General features: G+C 33.2%; 1 long non-coding RNA gene across 1 annotated transcript in view; it reads left to right on the plus strand.

The window, feature by feature from the left end:
* Window positions 1–19137, plus strand: part of LOC101927141 (uncharacterized) — a 49821-nt gene extending 30684 nt beyond the window's left edge. The window contains exons 3-4 of the long non-coding RNA NR_134295.1: window positions 18409–18522; window positions 18998–19137. This is a non-coding gene — a long non-coding RNA (uncharacterized LOC101927141). The remainder of the gene's footprint in view (window positions 1–18408; window positions 18523–18997) is intronic.
* The last annotated feature ends 4621 nt before the right edge of the window (window positions 19138–23758 follow it).

A 23758-nucleotide genomic window follows, 5' to 3' on the forward strand; every position in this document is an offset into this window, starting at 1 on the left:
ACAGATACTGGACCCTACTTGAAGGTGGAGGGTGTGAAGAGAGAGAGGATAGAAAAACTACCCATTTGGTACTATGCTTATTACCTGTGTGATGAAATAATTTGCACACCAAACTCCGTGACACAAAATTTGTCTATATAACAAAACTGCACATTTATCACTGAAACTAAAAGTTAAAAAAATAAGTAAAGGTATTTTATATAGTAACTACCTCATTTATCTGCATGTCAGTATTTCAGACAACTCAGATGAGAAAAAAATAATTGTATGTTAAAAGCATCTCTGAGCAACTAAAAGTTCCTAATGCATAATCTTACGCAGCATACTCAAATTATATTAGTAATATTGTTTGACAAATGAATTTTTTTTTTTTTTGAGACGGAGTCTCTCTCTGTCGCCCAGGCTGGAGTGCAGTGGCGCGATCTTGGCTCACTGCAACCTCTGCCTCCTGGGTTCACGCCATTCTCCTGCCTCAGCCTCCCAAGTAGCTGGGACTACAGGCACCTGCCACCACGCCCGCCTAATTTTTTTGCATTTTTAGTAGAGACAGGGTTTCACCGTGTTAGCCAGGATGGTCCCGATCTCCTGATCTCGTGATCAGCCGGCCTCGGCCTCCCAAAGTGCTGGGATTACAGGCGTGAGCCACCGTGTCCGGCCTAACAAATGAATTTCGTAGAAAAATTATTACTTTCTGATATTAGACAGCTGGGGGAGTAATAAAGTTGAGCCTGTTCTAGGTAGCCAGACTATCCATACTCTAGAACTTAGATATGTTCCTTACAAAAGTATTTTACACATTTTAATTTTTTTACTAAATATTTTATTTTAACAAGTTTTTGTTATAACACGTGAAACAATGAGAAGATGTGTAAATAGGCAAATAATCCTCCACCCACACATCAAACACACCTGCTTCATAGAAGTAATATAAACAGACTAGTGAATACAATCCTATATTTTCCATGCTGTGTGTGTGGTTTGTGTACATACACACTGGGTTTTGGAGGAGCTTAAAGACAACAATATAATGCTATTCATATTTCACTGATACCTACTTTTTCCAATTATTTTATTTTAGGTATCATTTCAGGTAATCAACCCAGATTTATTGTTTCAAAGCTGTAAAATATTATATAACAGAAATGAATTTCTTCAAACATTTCTCTATTTTGGGATATTCAGAACATTTCTAATTTTCACAGTGCAAACAAATGCACCTACTTCTACCCTTATTTCTATTTAATAAATTTCCTAAAATTATCATGATGAGGCAAAGGACAGTCAAACTTTAAATTTCAATATTATTGATATATTGTTTTTCAAACAAATTTCCAATGTCTTTAAATCATGACATCATTGTATACTGAAAACGTGTTTTTCCTACTAGTATGCTATACCTATGAGATCTCATACATCATACATATGTGCTACTATTTCTAGCCTGATTTAAATTGTATTACCTATTTTTTTTCCAATATCAGGTTTTTGATTAAGTAAATTCATAATAATTTGTAATGTCTGGTAAAAAAAATATATAACCCACCTAATATTTCTTTTCCACATGTATTGGGCTCTACTACATGTTCAGCTGAACAAAATAACAAAATATGGGAAACTATCAGGTATGTATTAATTTTTAAATTAGTGAAATTTAAATTTATTATACTGGAAAAAAGACTAAAATTCTGATTGTAATTAGTATTTATTAATTTTGACATATTCCTATTTAATGTTATTGTCTTTCAATTCAAAAATATCCTGTCTCTCTACATTTATATATACATTGCTTTGTTCTTTAAAAAATAAATTTACATAGCTATCCACATATGTTCTGTATATGTCTTTTAACATTTGTTCCTTAGTATTATTTGTTTGGCCATTTGTTTTTAGCATTATGTTGAATTTTGTTTTTTTCTACCTCATACCCTAGCCATTATTTCTGATAAGATTTTAGCATTTTAAACACTTAATCTTTTCAAAATACATATTATTCTATTGTTTGCAAGCTAAAGTGTGGCTTTATTTATACATGTGAAAGATAATAAATACTACTTTTAAAATATGCAAAATGTTTGGTCTTGCATGTGAAATAAATTAAGGATCATATGCTCCATGTTCATGCCAAGCATGTTCTCCATATGAATGCCAGTTTTAAGAAAATAGTATTTCTTAGAAAAGCAACTGTGTTATCAGCATATTACCCAAAATAATGATGAATTATCCTAGAGAGTTAAAAATAAATTTTTGTATGAGTTCAATTCATTTTTGTCTTCACATCAGTTTGTTACAATTACGTGTCTTTTTTTCTTTTTGTTTCATATAAGAATATGAAGACTATACCTTTTATTTTCAATACAAACCATTTACTTTCAGATATGAAGATATTTTGTTACTAGGCTATTGTAACTGAGCTCAGTTATTTTTATTTTTTAATGTACAAAACATAAAACACCTTTTAAAAGTTACAATAGCTATATTCATTCATACCCAGAATATTTTAAAGATATATTTTATTAAATTGGTAAACAGATAATAAAATGTTAAAGAACAGAAAAGGGAGCAACAGGGGCTTAAGAACTGATAATATAAGTATAGGAACAAGTACCAGCATCAAGAAAGTGTGGTGTTGGTGAAGGAATAAATAGATCAATGGAAGAGAAATAGAGTACCCTAAAATAGACTCCTATAAATATGGGCAACTGACCTCTGATAAAGGAGCAAAGGGAATACAATAGAGAAAAAAATAGTCTTTTCAATTAAATGTGCTTGAACAACTGAACATCCACATGCAAGAAATGAATCTAGATGCAGACCTTACAACCTTCACAAAAATTAACTTAAAATATATCATGGACATAAATGAAAGAAAAAAAAAACTATACAACTTCTAGAAAATAACATAGGAAAAAGTCCAGATGATCTTGGGTTTGACAGTAAATTTAAAAATACAACACCACAGCCATGATCCATGAAAGAAAGACCAATAAGCTGGACTTCATTAAAATTAAAAACCTATGTTCTGCAAAAGACACTGTCAGTGAAATGAAAAGAAGAAAAGCCACAGGCTGGGAGAAAATATTTGCAAAGTCTTACCAGATAAAGAATTATTATCCAAAATACACAAAAAACCTTCATTCTCAACAATAAAACACAACCCAATAAAAATGTTGGCCAAAGACCTCAACAAAGATGACACACAGATGACAAATAGATATATGAAAAACTGTTCCACATCATATGTTATTGAGAAAATGCAAATTAAAACAACTAGATACACTACCTACCTATTAGAATAACCAAAATCCAGAGCTGAATGGAGGCAAGTATGTGAAGCAATAGGAACTCTCATTCATTGGTGGTGGGAATGCAAAATGGTACAGTTACTTTGAAGACAGTTTGGCAGTTTTGTAGAGAACTAAATATATCCTTATGATAGGATCCAGCAATTATGCTCTTTATTATTTCCCCAAATGAGTTACAGTCTAAAGTCCCCACAAAAACCTGCACATGAATGCTTATAAAATCTTTATTCACAATTGCCAACACTTGGAAGTAGCCAAGATATCCTTCAGTAAGTGAATAAATAAACTGTGGTACATCCAGATAGTGAAATATTATTCAGCACTAAAAAGAAATGAGTCTTTAAGCCAAGAAAAAAAAAATGAAGGAAAAGTAAATGGGTATTACTAAGCAAAAAAAAAAAAGCCCAACTACATACTGTATGATTCCAACCATATGACATCTGAAAAACTATGGAAAAAGTAAAAATTATCAGTGGTTGCTAGGGATTAGAGAGGAGGGAGGGATGAGTAGGTGGAGCACAGAGAATTTTTAGGGCAGTGTAACTACTCTGTATGTTACTATAATATTAGATATATGTCATTATAACTATTTCCAAACAAATAGAACGTAAAAATTCTGGGTGACAATGATGTGTCAGCAGAGGTTCATCAATTGGGACAAATGTGTCACTCTGGTGAAGGATGTTGACAATGTATGTGTGGGGAAAGAGGGTATATAAGATATCTCTGTATCTTATGCTCAATTTTGCTGTAAACCTGAAAGTGCTCTAAAAATAGTCTTAAAATGTGAAGGAACAATGAAGGGGACAAAAGGGATTTAAGAATTTACAAGTACCATCATATCTTGTCAAACAAAAATACAACCTTTATCAGTACTACCTTGAATTTTTAAAGCACAAATTAAAGAATATATTTCATGGAGAAATACATAGAGCAAATAAACAATATGTGCATAGCTACACGTATGATAAATATGTCATCAAACGCATTTATCATAACAATGAATGTGAATGCACTTGTTTCACTTATTAGAAGAAAACGATGTTTAAGAGTGTTGCAAGTCAGACCCCAAGTTTCAGCTTTTTACAAGGAGCAATTCTAAAATGAAGGTTTTGAAAAGACCAAAAAGAAATTAGCAGAAGTATACCAAGCAAGTGGGATCAAAATGAGAACAGAAGTATCAATCTTGTTATCAAAATAGGATACAAGCGTCAATGCAGTAACCATGATAAGAAAGGACAAACTTAATTGCTAAGAGCTATAATCCATAATGAATATGTAAATTTATTACTACTTATGGATCAAAAAACACAGCAACCAACTCTATAAAGCTGGTAATAGGAGATCCAAGGAGATATTGATATAAACATACTAGTAAAATCACTCTTTAATACATCACTCTCAGTACAAGACAAATGAAGTGGACAAAAAAAAATAATTGAGGAGATAAAAGATCTAATCAATATAATAAATGTGGTAGATACTATGAAAATAAATCAAACTTCAAACATTTTTAGTAAAACAAACACCTTCTTCTCAAAGTTCAAAAAATACACAGAAAAATGAATCATATATAAGTCACAAAGAAAAAATCAGTAATTTCCATAAAGTAGGAAGATTATAAGCAACACTCACTGATTACAGTGCAATAAAACTAGAATTTACAAACAAAAGAATAAAACAAAAAGATTCTTCCCCTGGGAAATTAAAACAAACAAAACAAACATAAAACCTTTCATTAAATAACTGCTTGGTAAAAGGAGGAAAATAAACTAAAATTAAAGAACATTTGAGAAATAAGGACAGAAGGCTGGGCGTGGTGGCTCATGCCTGTAATCCCAGCACTTTGGGAGGCCTAGGCAGGTGGATCAAGAGGTCAGGAGATCGAGACCATCCTGGCTAACATGGTGAAACGCTGTCTTTACTAAAAAAATACAAAAAAACAAAAATAGCAGGGAGTGGTGGTGGGCACCTGTAGTCCAAGCTACTCAGGAGGCTGAGGCAGGAGAATGGCATGAACCCTGGAGGCAGAGCTTGCAGTGAGCCGAGATCATGCCATTGCACTCCAGCCTGGACAACAGAGCAAGACCCCATCTCAAAAAAAAAAAAAGAAAAGAAAAGAAATAATGACAGAAGCTTTGTATATCAGAATCAATGAAATTCAATTAAAACAGTTCTCAGAGGATGATTAATTATATAGCATTAAATAGTTTTATCAATAAAGAGAAAAGAAAAAATATATCAGTTAAATTTCTAGTTAATAAAGTAAACTAGAAAGTAAATAATAAACAAAAAGTATAATAAAGGAAATAAAAGTATATCAAAGAAAAGTTTTTTTGACATTTTTGATAAAAACAATTACAGAGACAAGTAATCGATCTAATGAATAAATCAAAATCATGGTATTTAAGAAAGTTAAAATACATAAAGCTGTAAGATAAGTTAATCATAAGAAAAGGGGAGGAAACATGGTGATACAAAATAAGAAATGACAAAGGAATAATCATTGAAACAGAAGAAATGGTTAGTAAATCATAAGAGAAGACTTTGTAGATCTCTATTAAATGAATTTGAAAACCTCAGTAAAATGGGAAGTTTCCTAAGAAAAGCAAAACTGACCCCATCAGAACTGAAAGGAAAGATAAGCAAGAACCTCATGAGATTACTTACCTACAAGGAGTGGGTGGGAAAGAAGTGGAAAGAAGAATGGAATGGAAGGTCAGTGTGTCAGGGATAGTAAAAGGTCTGAGGATCTCTCAGTATATATATTTTATACATAGTAAGACAGGAGAATAGAGTCTAGAGGCAGGAAAATTATGACCAATTTATGCTGAGTCAAGGAAAATCACTAAGGTCTGGGGCCAGGGAATCTAAGGCCAATTTGTGCTGACTTCCTTAAAGAGAAACCACCAAGGTCTGTGGGCAGGAAACATAAGGCTAATTAACACAAACTTCCTAAAGCTAAACCCAAAGGGAAAAACCCCATGCCCCATGCTGAGTAACAAAAGATCAAAGGCTACTCTCCCTACAATCTCCTCCTTCCACCAGATGGAAGGGGAAAGTGCCCTGGATTGGCCTGGGGGCCAAGCACGGACCATCCGTTCATCTGCATAGAATGCCAATTCATCCACTTCAGCCTTTAATTAGCCACAGACCAAATCCTTCATCCGGGTAAGTGGTAACCAATAGGGACCTCAAGAAGAAGTTCCTAAAACCCAGAAAACTTTGTAACATGTAACCTGGCAGTTGAATTGCTTACTTGCACCCACTTCCACCCTATGGAGTCCTTTCTTGCTTTGATAAATTTCTGCTTTCACTGCTTCATCCCTGTTTTGTTACATTGTTACTTTGTGCATTTTGTCCAATTCTTTGTTCAAAATGCCAAGGATCTGGAAAACTCACACTCAAGGTCCTCCTTGCAGTAACAATATGACCCTTAGAACCGTAGTACTATTTTATTTACTCTTAATATACCCCCAAAATTAACAAACAAAATTAAACCATAAAAGTGAGCATACCTGGCAATCACTTTTAGTTTCTAAAAACTAATCTTCAATAAAAGGAACATGGGATCCTTGGAGAATTAGGTGATTCCAGGGAAAGTACAAGTTAACCTGGAATATCTTTTGGCATCAGAAAGTAATAAACTGTTCAAAAAATGAATAAATAAAATGAGGGCTTTAAAAAAGAACCAAAGTGGTCAACTTGGAGGAGCCCCTAGTAGTCAAAGCTGTATTAATTTGAGCAACAACATTAAGGATAACATTAAGTTATAACCTCATGTATAAAATCAACGTGAATGAGACCATGCTGATATAAATTTATAAATGAAGGCAAATGAACAGTTTTTTCTAACAAGAGGTTTTTATATGTGTAAAAGGAAAGAGGGAAATAAAGAATCACCGTTATGCAAATCCCCCTAATAATTATTGAAGACAAGATTTGCCAGTGAATGTTAAAATCAGTGTACAAGGGTTATAAGAGAAACGTGTCCATATTCTCAAATATATTTCCCAAAATATTTATTAAACACAAGGGTCAAATTAATAACCTTACACTTGATAAATCCAGCAGTTACCAAGTTAACAGAATGATCAAGAAAATATCCCCAGTACTAAAACATTGGCATGATGAGCCCCATGCTATGATATACTAGTAAGGGCACCATATCAATTCTCTGGTGTTCTTTCTGAAAATGATAACCTCATTTCAATCATGGAAATATATCAGACAAATCAAAGTTGAAGGTCATTCTAAAAATAACTAATTAGTACTCTTCCAAAGCGTCAGATCATAAAAGACAAGGAAATACTGAAAAGACTGAAGGTCTGAAAGAGATTAAGGAGAAATCATAATGAAATGCAATGTAAAATCCTCAGTAGGATTCTTGAAAAAAAAAATAACATTAGTAGAAAAAAATGATGAAATTTAAATGAGGTTTCCATTTTAGTTACTAATATTGTACCAATATTAATTTCTTCTTCCTGATAATTACATATAATCATATAAGTTGCTAACATTAGGTGAAGCTGGTGAGGAATATATGAATACTCCATGTAACATTTATGCAACTTTTCTGCAAGCCTAAAATTAGTTCAAAATTAAATGTTTCAGAAAATGAGCTTATTGTTTCCATCTGCACATTAACATTACTAAATTAGGGTGTTATATCAGGGATCCACATGATTTTATTCTTTCCCCACATTTGTTTCTATATTTAATGTTGATTATAGATCTAACTCTAGTGATTTATTCATGACAATTCATTACTTTCAACACCTCTTTTCTGCATAGAATAATTATTTCATTTATAAAATAATCTATTTTAGGTTTATACATATCAAAATTATACATTAAAATGTCACTTCTTTAATATAATAAACTAATAAAACATCAGTGATATATTCAAACTAGGTGAAAGGAAAACTTCAGAACACATTTTTGTAAAATATTTAATTATTAAATAACCAATTAAGCTAACAATTTCAATTGTGGCTTTCTAACCTAAGTTTAATTAGTTTTGACTGGGAGCTGTGGAAATCTGAGAACTACACATGAACTAATTTTGCAGAAGATGTCAATGAAAATACTCAGTTAAAAAGTTTAAATTATCACCATTTAATTATGACCATTTAAATCAGCTTTTCTGTCTCAATTAAAAATGTATGCTCATTGCATCTTGTAAGAATTATATGTATTTGCACCATTATTTTTCAGATTGTAGGGTTTAAATTCACTTTCTACAGTTGTATTTAAAATACATGCTATCTGCTAAATATTAACACTGATGAATATATTTGGTAATCTAGTAAACAAGGACAAACCGTTATTATATTGTAATAATATTTAAACAATTTCATGGACAATGACATGTTATAATGAGAAAAGCATATAGTTAAGTCTTATATCTTAATAAATATAAACTATCAGCTATATTTAAAATGCCTTTTTATGTATACAAAATAAAACAACACCATAATAGGTATTCTAAAACAATGATATTTTAATTTATGTTACATAAATCCTTCGATTTATTATAGAATTTGTGGGTATATATCTATTTTCCTTACAATAGTTTTTTAAAACTTAATACTATAGCCTGTGCATTGAACTTCACCAAGAAAGTAAAAGCAGTAAATATTAAAACCTATTTTAGAATTTCTAAAATGAGTTCATTTCTACCACATCAAAGTTTAAGTTTTTTCAATTCAAATTTACATTAGAAATTCAAAAGCTCCTTATATGCATTAAAGATTATTTAATGCATTTTAATCACCACAGGATTCTTCAGAATCAATAGGTTAGCAGTAATTGAGGCTCACTATTTATTGCGAGGTTTAAATACTGTGATAGAAAAAACACTTTCCTTAAAATTTTAGATAATTAATCAGATGAATCAGACTACTAGCTAGGGAGAATTCTGTGTTCTTGAATTTTCTTTAGTAAAACAATGTCTTTAACATTTTAAATCTATGCTCCACAAAAAAAAAAGTTCAACTGTATGTTTTAATATATTTATTGTATCACCTAATATCTAATTTATGAGAGTTGTCATTGAAATTTGATATTCTTCAATAAGATATAAAGTATTTAGATTTTAACAATTTATGGTGATTTCTATAGCCTGCTATGTTGTGATTTCTGCCACATTTTCTTTTGCTGCTTATGTGAAACTCATAAAACAAAATAATCTCAGGATTTGTTTGTATGCATTTGTCAAATTGCTTTTCGTTTAACTCTTTTTTAGGACAATTTCCTAAATTGAACACTCTTTCATGGAAAAAAGTAAATTGGAACCTGCACTTGTGAGGCTTGGAAACTACCACCTAAGATGTTTAAAAGGAAAACTGTCGTTTGCCTCAAAATGTTTATCCTTGGGAAGGAATCAATATTGTGCTGACTTTCTCCCCATACCTAAGTTGGCTTTGCTCCAATAGTATTATTTCCCTCTTTACAAAGTAAAAGTCCAAACAAAAAAACTGTTACTTAAATAAGTTCCTCTCTAATTTATTTGTTCCCCAATGTCACCAGCTCAAAGACATTTACAATAAACTCCATATTGGAAATTGCAAATCTTTCCACATTGCTAGCACTCATGGTCACTTTATAAATTATGTATTTCTTCTTTCATTGTTTCATGTGCTTATATATATGTGCATGTGTATATATATACATATACACACACACACAACATACCTGTTCAAACATTTATTGTTTACTATTAATATTGTTTGGCTCTATGTCCCCACTCATATCTCATCTCGAATTGTAATCCCCACACATCAAGGGAGGGACCTGGTGGGAGGTGACTGTATCATGGGGGGTGGATTCCCCCATGCTGTTCTTATGATGGTGAGATAGTTCTCACAAGATCCGGTGGTTTAAAAGTGTTTGGCAGTTCCCTCCTCACTCTCCCTCTCTTGTCGCCTTATGAAGAAGGTCCTTGCCTCCCCTTTACCTTCCACCATGATTGTAAGTTTCCTGAGGCCTCCCCAGCCATGTGGAACTGTCAGTCAATTAAAACTTTTTCTTCATAAATTACCCAGTCTCAGGAAGTTCTTTATAGCACTGTGAAAACACACTAATACAACCATTCACCAATGTAGTTTTGCCGGCATAATTTGTACTCTCTCTGCCCCCACTCTCAGAAAAATCATAATACTCCTTCAGTGTTCTAATAATCTTAGACAATGGGCTATATCTGTTCTCCAGCTTGGGTTTCAGCTCACTATTTACTGCTTTGGTCTCTTGTCATATTGTCAAATGGACATTAGTGGTGGGGCTCTTTAATCCAATTCGAAATGCAGCCACAACATTCAGATAACTTTGGGATTGCTGAAAGAGAAGACCACATACCTACATCTACGATTATTTTTTTCATATATTTAGTCAGAGACACAGTATTTAATGGGACTATCATTAATAGAGTTACCATCATTGGTGTACATACAACAAATCCTAGTAATATTTTTTTTCTCATCTCTTGTATCCCTAATGCAGTGAACATCAGTTGGTAACACTTTTTAAGCTGATAGAGTCTTGTCAGTTTTTTAAAAATAAATCACTTTTAGCTATGCCAATGCCCTTTTATCCAGCAAGTCATGAAGCCACTGTGGGGATTTTTCCAGTGACTAAACATGCCTATCCCAATTACAGATTCAGGTACTGGAGTGAAAAACACAGGATAGACCTCTGGACCCACTGGGCCCACTGTGAGTTTGACCTCAGTCTCCATCTATCACCAGAGCACTTTATGTTCCCTCTCTGGTGGACCACAGTGCAATTTTTGGTCCCCACAAATTAGTGTTCATTCAAAGTCAGGGCCTCGTAATCTCCAAAAGTTCTGCTCATTTTATTTTCCCCTATGTAGTCACTCTTGTAAATGGCCACAGCCCTTTCAGGAAGGCTAGATGGAAGATTTATTGTGTGTACATATGGCAGTGGTCCATTATTGCAGAACAGGTAGTAAAGAGTAAATTTGTAGCTGAGAGGCAATAAATTGATAACTGGCACAAAGTGTGAAGAGAATATAGAGCATTTCAAATGAAGGACTTAGACCATTATAATAAAATGTGGCAAAATTTATATCAAAGACAATTTAGTCTCTAAGGAGAATAAATGTCAAATAAGAGGAATGCTTTCTTGAGGAGCAGATATTTGATGCCATATTGTAAAACATTAGAAGAATATATTCACCCCTATTCAATAGTCTTATAAGGTTAATAATATCAAGGGATGTGTCCTAGAAATATTATCCATCCTACCAGGGTTGAAAGTATACTTGACACATAATAAGTTTGTACTGAATCTACTTCTCTTTTCGATGAGCTTAGAATGTACAAATATTTCTAATGATGAAACAGTATGAAGGCACATGTTCTGTAGGGGAATAAAAGTTTCAGCTGTGTACATTTCTTATAAAAATAGTATTATTGTACTATAAGCACTTTAATAACTGCTTTTCACCTCTCATTTAATCATGTCTGTTAACAACCTTCTATTACCATCAGATGACAAATATTTATCAGTTGTCCCCAAACAGATAAACCTTAGGAAATATATTGTTGTAGCCGACACTAATACTTTGTTAATGATAATTCAAATATTAATGAATCTAAAGTAAGTTGGAGTCTTCTTTATTGATGGAGTGTAGTTGAGAATAAAGGAAGAATGAGAAAAAAACAGTTTCATTATTTCTATATTCAAATATTCTGCAAATGATATATATCTCTGAGGTGAATGATAAAACGTGATTTTATACCACTATGAAGGTGAAACTATCAAAAATATTTTCATTTCTTTACTTGATTGTAACTAAGCTATTTATTAGTTATTGTAAGGAAAACAGGAATATCTGCATTAATCGATTTGATGTATTTGTCCTTTATTTAGAAAAAACAAATAAATTGAGCACTTGTAAATCTCTCTGACCCAGTGTTTAATTAATCAAATCTAGTACATTTAATAAGCAGAGATAATCCAAATGCTAAGCTTTGTATTTAATCAGTTTGTTGATAAATTGAACATTTAATAGATAGAACACATATAAGAACTGCTCTAGAATATTATGTAGGCAATTTTCATAGCCAAAAAAGCAAATCAGTGAGCATATGTTACTAGCAGAGAGAAAACACAGAATTAAGCACATGGTCAATACATGTGTGTGCTTAATACCTGAACTAGTGAAAAAAGTGACAAATTTTCTCTATGCTAACCATTAAGTACTAAAGAATTTTTAATTAATTTATTACAGACTATACAAAAAGCCCCTGTATATTGTGGGTTACCTACATGCTCCATAGTCAAATTGAGTAAGATGCAACGAGTAGGTGACTCTAATTTTCAACAGGGTTTTCAGAAAAAAAAAAAAAAAAAAAAGTATTTTAAGGCCATGCTACATGGCATGCTCTTATGCATATATCATGATCAATTGGATGTGGCTCGGTATTTTAGTTCTATTCAAATTATGCACATGCACAACCGTTGTCATATAGATAAAAGCAGCTCTGAAATAATGGTGTTTGACAATGAACCTTATTTAGAGAAGCCATACAACCAGATAATTAACACAACATGATAAGAGAATTGTGGTACTTTTTCCAAACCAGCTAAACTTATTTATGATGATAGAATCCAAATAAAATAAGCTTGGAAAGTAAGCGTTTAGGGAGTAAATTGTTTCCTAGCTTATTTTGTTAAAATAGTCAAATTGGCATGGAATTCCCAGAGATTTAGAATATACTCTACCAAAAATGCCCCACCACCTTTGCGTACATCATCTAATGCTGACTCTTCCTATTTTTGCTGTTTTGCTTTTCTCTGTCACTGCATACAACGGAGACCACACTTAGCAGAATCTATTAATTAACCAGGTTAGCTTTGAAATAAAATGAGAAGCTGTCTGTCATGTGAATCTAGCATGTCACTGCACAGAAACAACTCTCTTCCATCTATAAAAAGAAATACTCCATTTTCCTATACAGCTTTCTCTAGCAAAATATTTTGCTGACCAAACTTTGTTTCACTGTTTAAATGGTATTTCTATAAAATCTGTTTAGCAATGCATTATTCAAGAAGTTAAGGTCTTTACTGGCAATATAGCAGGGAGACTAATGATGTTAGGATGGTAATTAATCTTCTTGGAAAAACTTAAGGTTTTATGCATTTTTGTTACATCTAAAAAAAGATTTTATATTCCCCCAAGCATAATTGTGCCACCGATGTTTCTGAAACAAAATCAAGATGGGTAGAGGTAAAGAGTTAGCAAGTTTTTGGGTGGTTTTGGAAAAGGCAACATTCAAGTGGAGAAACAAGGATGTAAGTTCTCACTTTGGGCTGCAGTTTCAGGCTTGAGGGTGGGGTTTTGTTAGGGATCTGCCCTTTTCTGCCTAGAATTTCTCTGCTTCCTCTCCCTATCAATAGCTTAGGAAATACCATTCTGGACACAGGCCCTGGCAAAGATTTCATGAAGAAAACACAAAAAGCAATTGCAACAAAAACAAAAATTGACAAATAGGGCCTAATTAAACTAAAAAGCTTCTGCACAGTAAAAGAAACTATCAACACAGTAAACAGATAACCTACCAAATGGGAGAATATATTTGCAACTATGTATCCAACAAAGGTCTAATATCCAGAATCTATAAGGAACATAAATAAATTTACCTGAAAAAGCAAATGATCTCATTAAAAAGTGAGCAAAGACATAAACAGACACTTCTCAAAAGAAGACATAAACATGCCCAGCAAGCTTAATGAAAAATGCTTAACATCACTAATTATTAGAGAAATAAAAATCAAAACTACAATGTGATACCATCTCACACCAGTCAGAGTGGCTATTACTAAGAAGTCAAAAAGTAATATGGTGATGAGTCTATGGAGAAAACTGAATGCTCATACACTGTTGGTGGGCGTGTAAAACAGTTCAGTCTCTGTGGAAAACAGGCTGGAGATTTCTCAAGGAACTTAAAACAGAACTACCATTTGACCCAGCAATCCCATTACTGGGCATATACTCAATGGAAATAAAACATTTTACCAAAAAGATACATGCCTTCATATGTTCATTGCAGTACTATTCACAATAGCAAAGACATGGAATCAACTTAGGAGCCCATCACTGGTGGACTGGAGAAAGAAAATCTGGTACACATACACCATGTAATACTATGCAGCCATACAAAAAAAAAAAAAAGATGAGATTATGTCCTTTGCACCAACATAGAGCTGTAGGCCATTATCTGAAGCGAATTAATGCAGGAAAAGAAGACCAAATACTGCATGTTCTCACTTATAAGTGGGAGATAAACATTGAGTACACATGGACACAAAGAAGGGAACAAAAGACACTGAGGTTTAATTCAGGGTGTAGGCTGGGAGGAGAGTAAAGATCAAAAACCACCTATCAGATACTATGCTTACTACCTGTGTCATAAGCATAATGTCTGTAACCTACTGGGTACACCAAAGCCCCGTGACATGCAATTTACCTCTATAACAAACCTGCACTTGTACCCTTGAATCTAAAATAAAAGTTAAAAAAGTAAAATTTAAAAAGAGAAGGCTATAAAAACTAGGAAAACAATTTAGGAAATGCAAAATCTGACTTACAGCCATTCCAGAAAGAATGAAAAAAATGATCAAGAAAGTAACAGAAATGTTTTCTAGATCTAATATTTATGAATCTCCAAATTGAAAATACAATCTAATTACTTTGCACAACAAATTTTAAAAACCTAATGCCAAAGCACATAATTATCTGATTTTTAAATGTTTCAGATAATAAGACTCTAACAGCTCACAGAAACAAAACAAGTCCTATTACAAGAACTGAAAAATCAAATAGAGTTCTCAACAAAAAACAAATAGAGTCACTGGGATCTGGAAGACAATTGTGATAGTAGCTTCATTTGTTACTTAACTGGATCATGCTATGCCTAGATATCTGGTTAAATATGATTTCTGCATGTGTCTATGAGGATGTTTCTGGAAGAGATTATCATTTGAATTACTAGACAGAGTAAAGAGAATTGCTCTCCCGAATGTGGGTAGGTCTCATCCAATCAGTTCAGGGTGTGAATACAACAGAAAGGTGGAGGAAGATTGTATTCGCTGATCTCGCACGTTCCGTGCTCCTGGTTCTCAGGCATTCAGAGTCAGAACAGAATCTATGTTATTAGCTTTCCAGCTTCCCAGGCCTTCTAACTACACCAGTGGCTTTCCTGGTTCTCCAGTTTGAAGATGGCAGATTGTGGAACTTCTCGTTTTCCATAACCTCATGAACGAATCCTTCATATAAGCCAATATCTCATGAGTCAATACCAGACACACAGACGCAGACACACACACACACACACACACACACACACACACACACACACATTCTATTTGATTGTTTCTTTGGAGAATCCTCACTAATACAAAGATGAATTGTTTTTATCATTCTGAGTAGAAATGCTTTTTTTCAAATATGACTTATATTGCTGGCCACATTATCAATCAAATGTGATAATATAATAAATGTTGTCATGTATAATGTCACACTTACCATCCGTACAGCTTCACAAAATTCTGAAATAATGTGTTCTTCCAAATATGTGTAACTAAACAAGGAGAGAAAGAGAAGAAGGGAGATCACACACACAGAAAAATCCCTAGAATACTGACAAATCCCTAGAATACTGACAAATATAGAATACTGACAAATACTGTCCTGCTGTTCTTGAACAGCAGGACAGCAAGTTCTAGAGAGCAAAGCATTTGAAACAGAGCAAGACATTAGAGGGCTTAAGAAAGGGGTATGAAATAAAATTATGTTTCTGCTTTAAAGCTTATAGGATATTAAATCACAATATCTTATAGAATTGGAAATGAATTAGCAAAGATAACACAAAAATAAAATAAACAAAAGGAAAATATAAAGACTAACTCCAGTAAAAATAAAAGTTATTCAAGGAGGAGAATATAAGTATAGAACTGCTGGAATTTAATATCAGTATAATAACCAAAATACTGAATACGAATTTAACCAGAACCGAAGATGTAATTTTATGTGGAGGATGGATGAAGAAAAATGTGTGTTTGAAAGTGAGATAAAAATTTTTATCTCCCATTAAAAAAAATCACTTAAATGTTTACAAGTAAAGAATAAGGATATGTAAGAATTCTTTTTGTTTTGTCAACATATAGAGATAAATTTCAACACACACACACATACACACACACACACACACAAATAAATGCACACTTCTAAGTTATTTTCTTCTCTGAAAAGGAAAGTGTTGAGGAAGAGATGAGAGAGGAACTTTAGTCATTGTTATTGTTACTGACGTCGTATTGCCTTCTGCGTTTTAAGAGCTCACATTTCATAATGCGACAAAAATTTAAACTTAATGAAAATTAAAGAATGATTTAATGTTTTCAAAAATACTAAAATCAGTAACTTAAATACCTTTAATATTTAATCTGTCTGCTATCTGGAAATTACAGCAGTAAGTTTAACTTTTTTCATTAATTTGTGAGATACCCTCAACTCTCGATTTTTCATTAATTATCTTCAGCAAATTATTATCCCAGTTTGACATACCTTAGGTACTATCCTGCTTAAGGCCTCTTCTCTCCAATACTAGTTGGTAAATTCCCATGGAATGTAAATTGATTTTAATATTAATATTACAAAAAATATAATTAGGAAGTTGAACCTAGAGCACTATCATCAAACTTTTGCATAAAAACCCATAAATTTATGGGCGTCTTCTACACCATAATGAAGATTTTTAAAAAGATGTATTTTTACTTATTTCATCTCTAATGGCATTATATTTAATGATTTATTGGGTTTTTAATGACATTATTAATATTACATGATACTCATCTCTGGTAAAGTCCCCAAATAATTTGTATTAAAATGCTAAAAAATATTGCAGTGGAAGCAAAATTAAACACAATGAACAAATACAAGTCATAAAATATAATTTAAAATGCAATGAATTATTTACCTTTGAACACATCTGTAGGAAAATAATATACAGTCCCAAAATCTTTTTTTAAAAAGTCATGAAATAACTGGTAAATATAAATAATGAGAAAAAAGTTTCTACCGTCAAATTCACAGAACACAGAAATTATTACAGTCATGCTATAATGTTGATGTGAGTACATTAGAAGCACTCACAACTATAACAAACCATATTTTATTCAACAAAAACATAAGTTACCAAGAAAATTACACGATGGATATTAAGTTGATCAATACATACTTGAAAAAATTATTTTCTTCCTTCTTCTTCCTTTCCTTTCTTTGACAAACAAAAGGATTAGTATTTAATAAGCATTCATCTTGATGTTTAGGAATACACAGATGAATGGGCATGCTTCCTACACCCACCTGACTCACACCATATTTTAGGAACCACTCAAGAAAATAATTGTTTTATATAAAAATTGTATAGGTGCCACAAAAGAGGACCATAATCTCTGTGAGATTAGAAAACTTTGTCTTGTTTCTGGCTGTATCTAGTATCTAAAACAGGCATTGCAAATATTTTCATAAAGTGTCAGACAGTAAATATCTTAGGCTTGCTGGCCTAAGCCTGGCAAGCAACAGTCTCTGTGGCACAGAGTCTCTGGCCTTACAGTGTTGCTGGCAACTGTGAATGCATCAATACACAGAAACAAACTCACCCACTGTGTTGTGGCCAGTAGTTGATTGATCTTTGATCTTGAAAAATGCCCAGCTCATTTTGGTGCTGGTGATAAGCATGTGAGTGATACACATATTTATTCAGTGCCATACCATACTGGTACAACTTCTTACTATCTCTTATATGCACATATATGTGTGACATTGAATTACACATAAAGACAACTGTCAAATAAAGACAAATTCAGACTTAGAGAAGAAGAGACTTTCTTCAAAAAGAATATTGCAATAGGCAGAATATTCTTATCTCATAAATCTGCAAGCATGTGAAAATAAAAAAAGAAAAAGGTTCATTTTGTAAGGAGAGATAAGCAATGCTTAGCAGAAACTTTTAAGGAGAAGTTGAGTAACCAAAAGGGAGCATAATCCTGGTTCGACAGAAAATTTGTCTTCTATCATTAGCAAGCACACAAGATAAGCTGACAAGAGGAGCAAGCTAAAGTTCAAGGGCCTGTGTGAAAGAGAGATGCCTGACTAATGTTTTGTCAAGATAAAGCAGAGGGTTGGTGACAGACAGTAAGTATTATGTTAGCACTTCTGGATTCTGGAACTCCACACTCATCTGAATTTCATATTACACTGTTAGCTACTCCCTCTCCATCTTTTTTTTTTTTTTTCCAGAGAGAGGATCTCACTCTGTTACCAAGGCTGGCATGCAGTGGCATGATCACAGCTCACTGCAGCCTTGAACTCCTAGGCTAATGAGATCCTCCTGCTTCAGCCTCCCAAGTAGCTGGGTCTATAGGTGCATGCCACCACATCCAGCTAATTAAAAAAAATTTTTGTAGAGACAGGGGCTTCATTATGTCACCCAAGTTGGTCTTGAACTCCCAGACTCAAGCAATCCTCCTGCCTTGGCCTCCCAAAGTGCTGGAATTACAGGCATGAGCCATGGTGCCCAGCTCGATCTCTTTGCTGATTCACATTGTCTTAGTGACTCAACATCGGAGGAAATCTCTGAATCACAAAATGTATTCTTCTCTAATTTTAGATAGAGGCCAGGACACTTAAGTAAGAAGGTCTACCTTTCCTGTTTTAAAGTCATGGTTGCATCTACTTTCATAAGAACTTATTGTGTAATGTTTCTGTCAGTAACCTGGGAATAAAGAGTGGAGTTTCTCCTGCACTACAGATCATGTGTGAGCTGCTCTTTAATAAATATTTATTTGTGAATTTGACTTTGGTCAGGAACTTGTTTTTACAGTAATATACCACTTGGTTGCTGAAATTGTACAGGGAGGAATATATAACACATACCTGCCTGTAACCACAGGAGCTGAACACAATTTACCAGAAACAACTTATTTCATCACAGCTTTAGAATTTCCTAACTTTAAACATTTTATTCTTATATAAATGTACAATTTAGTTCTAGAAAACTAAAAAAAAATAGTTTTAAAAGAAATTAAATTAATTCAAAGAAATAAATACACTTTTGCTTTCATCCATGATAAAACAATAGGGGACTCAATTTACTCTTTGACATTAAACAAAACAGCTAGAATATTTTTTAAAGACAGTGTTCAGATATTGAAAAGTGGCCAGTGTCACAATATTAGTGAAAGGAGAAGGGAAATAAGGCAAGCCCTACAATTATGCTAGCTTTCTGCCTAGAGATAATTTCCAGATAGCAATGTGAATGGAAGAGGAATTTGAGATGATCCAGATGTTTCCTTGAGTTTAGGAAACAGAGTTTAAGAGTTCTGGAAGGCCAAGGCAGAATGCATGGAGTAATTTAATGAGGAAGAGACAGAGAGAGAGAGAGAGAGATTGAGAGAGAGAGGGAGAGAGAGAGAGAGAGGGGGAGAGAGAGAGAGAGAGACAGAGAGAGAGAGAGAGAGAGAACCAGAGAGAGAGAAAATGCAAGTGCATATACACTCTGGAGACAGATGATTCTACTGCAGTTTTCAATGCAGTACTAACTAACACGTGTATGAAAAACATTCTAACAGCAGTAAAAGCTTCTCCAGAAACGTGCGTAAAATCCCTAGGGACAGGAAAAGTTTGTAATTCCAAACAGCCAGAGTGGGAAAAACTTCATAATATATGAGAAACTGAGTAGTATACTCACAATGGTATTGCCTTCTTATCATTTTAGCCCTAAAGTCAGCTCTGGACCTCTCTAGCAATGATAAAAGACAGCCTCAAAAGAATCAAACTGTATTTAGTAATTCAATTACATTCCACAACAAACTCCATAATAAAAAATAATCCTTTAAAATATAGAGAAAACATGTATAATACTTGCCACCTGGTTTGAATAGGTGCCCCCAAAAGCCTGTGTTGGAAACTTAGTTTACAATGCAACAGTGCTGGAAGCTGGAACCTAGTGAAAAGTGATTAGGCCCTGTGGGTGGAGTGAATGGATTTATGCCATTAGTGTAGGAGTAGGTTAATTATCTCAGAAGTGAGTTTTTTTTTTAATAAAATGGAGCACTCAGTCCCCTTTTCCTTTGTGTTCATGTGTTCACTTGCCCACATGATGCTTCCCACCATGTTGTGAACATGGCAAGAAGGCCCTTACCAGATACAGCTCTTTGACCTCAGACTTCCCAGCTTCCAGAGCTGTAAGTCAAATAAATTTCTGTTTACCATAAATTACCGGGCTCTGGTATTATGTTATAGCAGCATAAAACACAATGCTATTTTATAAAGAAGAAAGAAAAAAAGAATTGGGGATGCAGGGCAGCAGGAAAACCAGAAATGAGACAAATGTTAGAAATAGTAGGCAAGTGTATTCTTACAATAAGTTTAATTTGTTCAAAAATAGAAAAACATGTACCTCATGAGAAATAGAGGATATATATGAGTCATATTGAATTAATATTGATCAAAAATATTGTCTGAGATGGAATATACCCACCAAATGAGATACTGCAGGATTAAAGTTAGGGAACATAAAGGCCTACAAACAGAAACAATTTGAAATGAAACACAAAGAAAAAAATACTAATCAAAATAGACAATCGGTGAGTGGTCTGAAATATCAAGTGGTCAATATAAAATGGTCTAAAATAAGTATAATTGGAATCCCCTCCAAAATAACTAATGGCTAAGACTATTTCAAAATTTAATGAAAACCATAAAGCCACAGATGAAAGAATTTTAATGAGCATCAAGAAGAAGACACTTGAAGAAGACTACAGAGATACAAATAATTAATTTTCTGAAAATCAGTGATGAAGAAAAAAATCTTTAAAGCAACCAGAGGAATAATACACATTATGTACAGAGATACAAAATTAAAATAACAGACAATTTATCATTAGAAACAATTCAAGGCAGAATGGTAGAACTATATTTTGAAAGTTCACAAAATGAAGTGTATTTGCATTATGTACCCACCAAAATTCATCCAAATATATTTAGCCAATTCATTTATTGGAATATGTATTTAAAATGTTTCCACTCTTCATAATTGAATCTTACTTATAAATGGAAGACGAGCATTAAACAAAATAAATTTTTGAGTAAATAAAAATGTATTGTATGTAAAAGTGTTAAAGACAGAATGAGAAATATAAGTTTACATTTTATTCAATTTGAAAGAGCTGGATTTTTATTTTGTTTGTTGTTGTTGTTCAATATAATTATTTTTCCTCTTACTTTTCAGTCCTCTTTTTTTTTTTTTTTTTTTGAGACAGAGTCTTGCTCTGTCACTCAGGCATTCTCAGCTCACTGCAACCTCCACCTCTCAGGTTCCAGCGATTCTCATGCCTCAGCCTCCGGAGTAGCTGGAACTATAAGTGTGAACCACTGGCTGGCTAATTTTGGTATTTTTAGTAGAGATGGGTTTTCACTATGTTGGCCAGGCTGGTCTCAATTCCTGGTCTCAAGTGATCTACCCACCTTGGCCTCCCAAAGTGCTGGGATTATAGGCATGAGCCACCGTGCCAGGCTCAGTCCTATATTTTTGATTGATTGTGGAAAATTTTAATGCTGTCACTGAAATGGATTAGTTTTCTTCTAAGCAAATCACTTAGCCACTTGATATTCTACTGTATTGAGAGATTTATATGACGACATGTTTCTTTGGGTAAACAAGTGACTGACATAAAGAAAGTTAAGTGGAATATTGGTGTTGAGGAAGACATTTAATTTCCTCTCTATGTGTAAACATTTTAGTGTTGGCTTGGTCTGCACAGTAAACATGAAGGATAAAATAAATATACTCTTCTTTTGATTTTCAGCCAAAAACGTCAAAAGAGTGACATTTCCCTTACATGTATTTGTCTACTTAGTTCTAAGGGCTATAGTTTAAATAAAAATTGTAATATAGGTGAAAAGTCAGTTCAAACATTTTGTACATTCAGAACAAACAGTAGTACAAGCACAGGTAAAATAATACAAGAGAAGGGATTAAATATGGAACATATTGATTGTTATTATCTAAACATTCCCTAACTTGGTCTTTTAAAATTTACACATAAAGAATGTGTCATATAAGCAGTTTTAGACTCTCATAAGAAAAGATGATAATTTGGATGAACACTTGAATCTGATGAAATTAAAAACCTAAAACTCTCCATGTTATATTCATTCAATATTTCTATATAGTTTCTATAGACTTGGTTTTTATTAGGATCTTGAATATGAAATGACTGAATAAATATTTTTACTTCCTATTTTTTTCAAAGATTAAGAACTCTACTCTGATTTCTTATTCAAGTCAGTCAGATAGGTGAAATTGTGCTTTTTAAAAAATCTTGAAGTAGTTTATAATTGAAAGAAACCCTGATAATCACCAGTGTGATTTTTAGAAACTCTCATAGTTGGCCTAAAGGGCCAAAACACTTGACCTGATTCAAAAAGTGCCATATAAATATACCATTCATTTTCTAGCAGTCTCAATTTCTTGAACATATTATTAATAGAATATTGAAATCCCCAAGTCTCTCAATGTTTCTCAATAGGGTAAAGCACCAATGTTTACAATAAAGAAACAACATACATAAAAAGAAAGGTAATATAGCATGAAGCTGTACACTTCAGGATATGCTTGAGTTCTCGCAGAAAACAAGAAAATGCTTTGAAAAGTCAATTCATGTTAAATGAATAAGGCCTGTCTTTTGTGTTCTCCCATTTGATGAGTGATTTTAAGTTGCCTGAGTTGGAAACTTATGTGATCTGTGTTTGCTTTCAATTTTTTATCCAATTAGTTATACACTCCTTCAATATTGCTTTTAAAATATCATTCAAATTTGCTTACTTCTCTCCATTCATAACCCCCGTCGAGAGCCCCATCACCTCCCACTAGAATTTTTCAACAGTTTCTTTAGTTCATCTCCTTGTGTACAATATTGCCCACAACATCCAATTTAATGCACTGTAACCTTAACCAGGGTTTATCACACTTTTTGACCTCATTAAGACTCCTATAGATGATTAAAATTTATTAAAAACCTTCCAACATATTTGGTCAGCTATATGTATTAATATTTATGATATTAGATGTTGAAACTTAAAAAAGCATTTATTAACCGATTAAAAATAACAATAAACCCATTAGCTGTTGTTGGGGATTGGAAAACAATACCCCAAAATGAAGGCCTCAGAAGTAGCCTCAGAGGCAAAAGTTTTTCTCTTTTTCTTGCCCTCCTTTCTCTCAGTCCCACTCCTCACTGCTCCGTCCTCCCCGCCCCTGCCAGGCTAGCCATAGAAACTAGAATCCCTCCTCCCCATGGTGGGTCATAGAAACTAGAACCTCATTTCCTCAAAGCTAGTCATAAAATCTAAAAATATTACTCTATTT

The sequence above is a fragment of the Homo sapiens genome, chromosome 8, assembly GCF_000001405.40.
Source record: "Homo sapiens chromosome 8, GRCh38.p14 Primary Assembly".
NCBI lineage: Eukaryota > Metazoa > Chordata > Mammalia > Primates > Hominidae > Homo > Homo sapiens.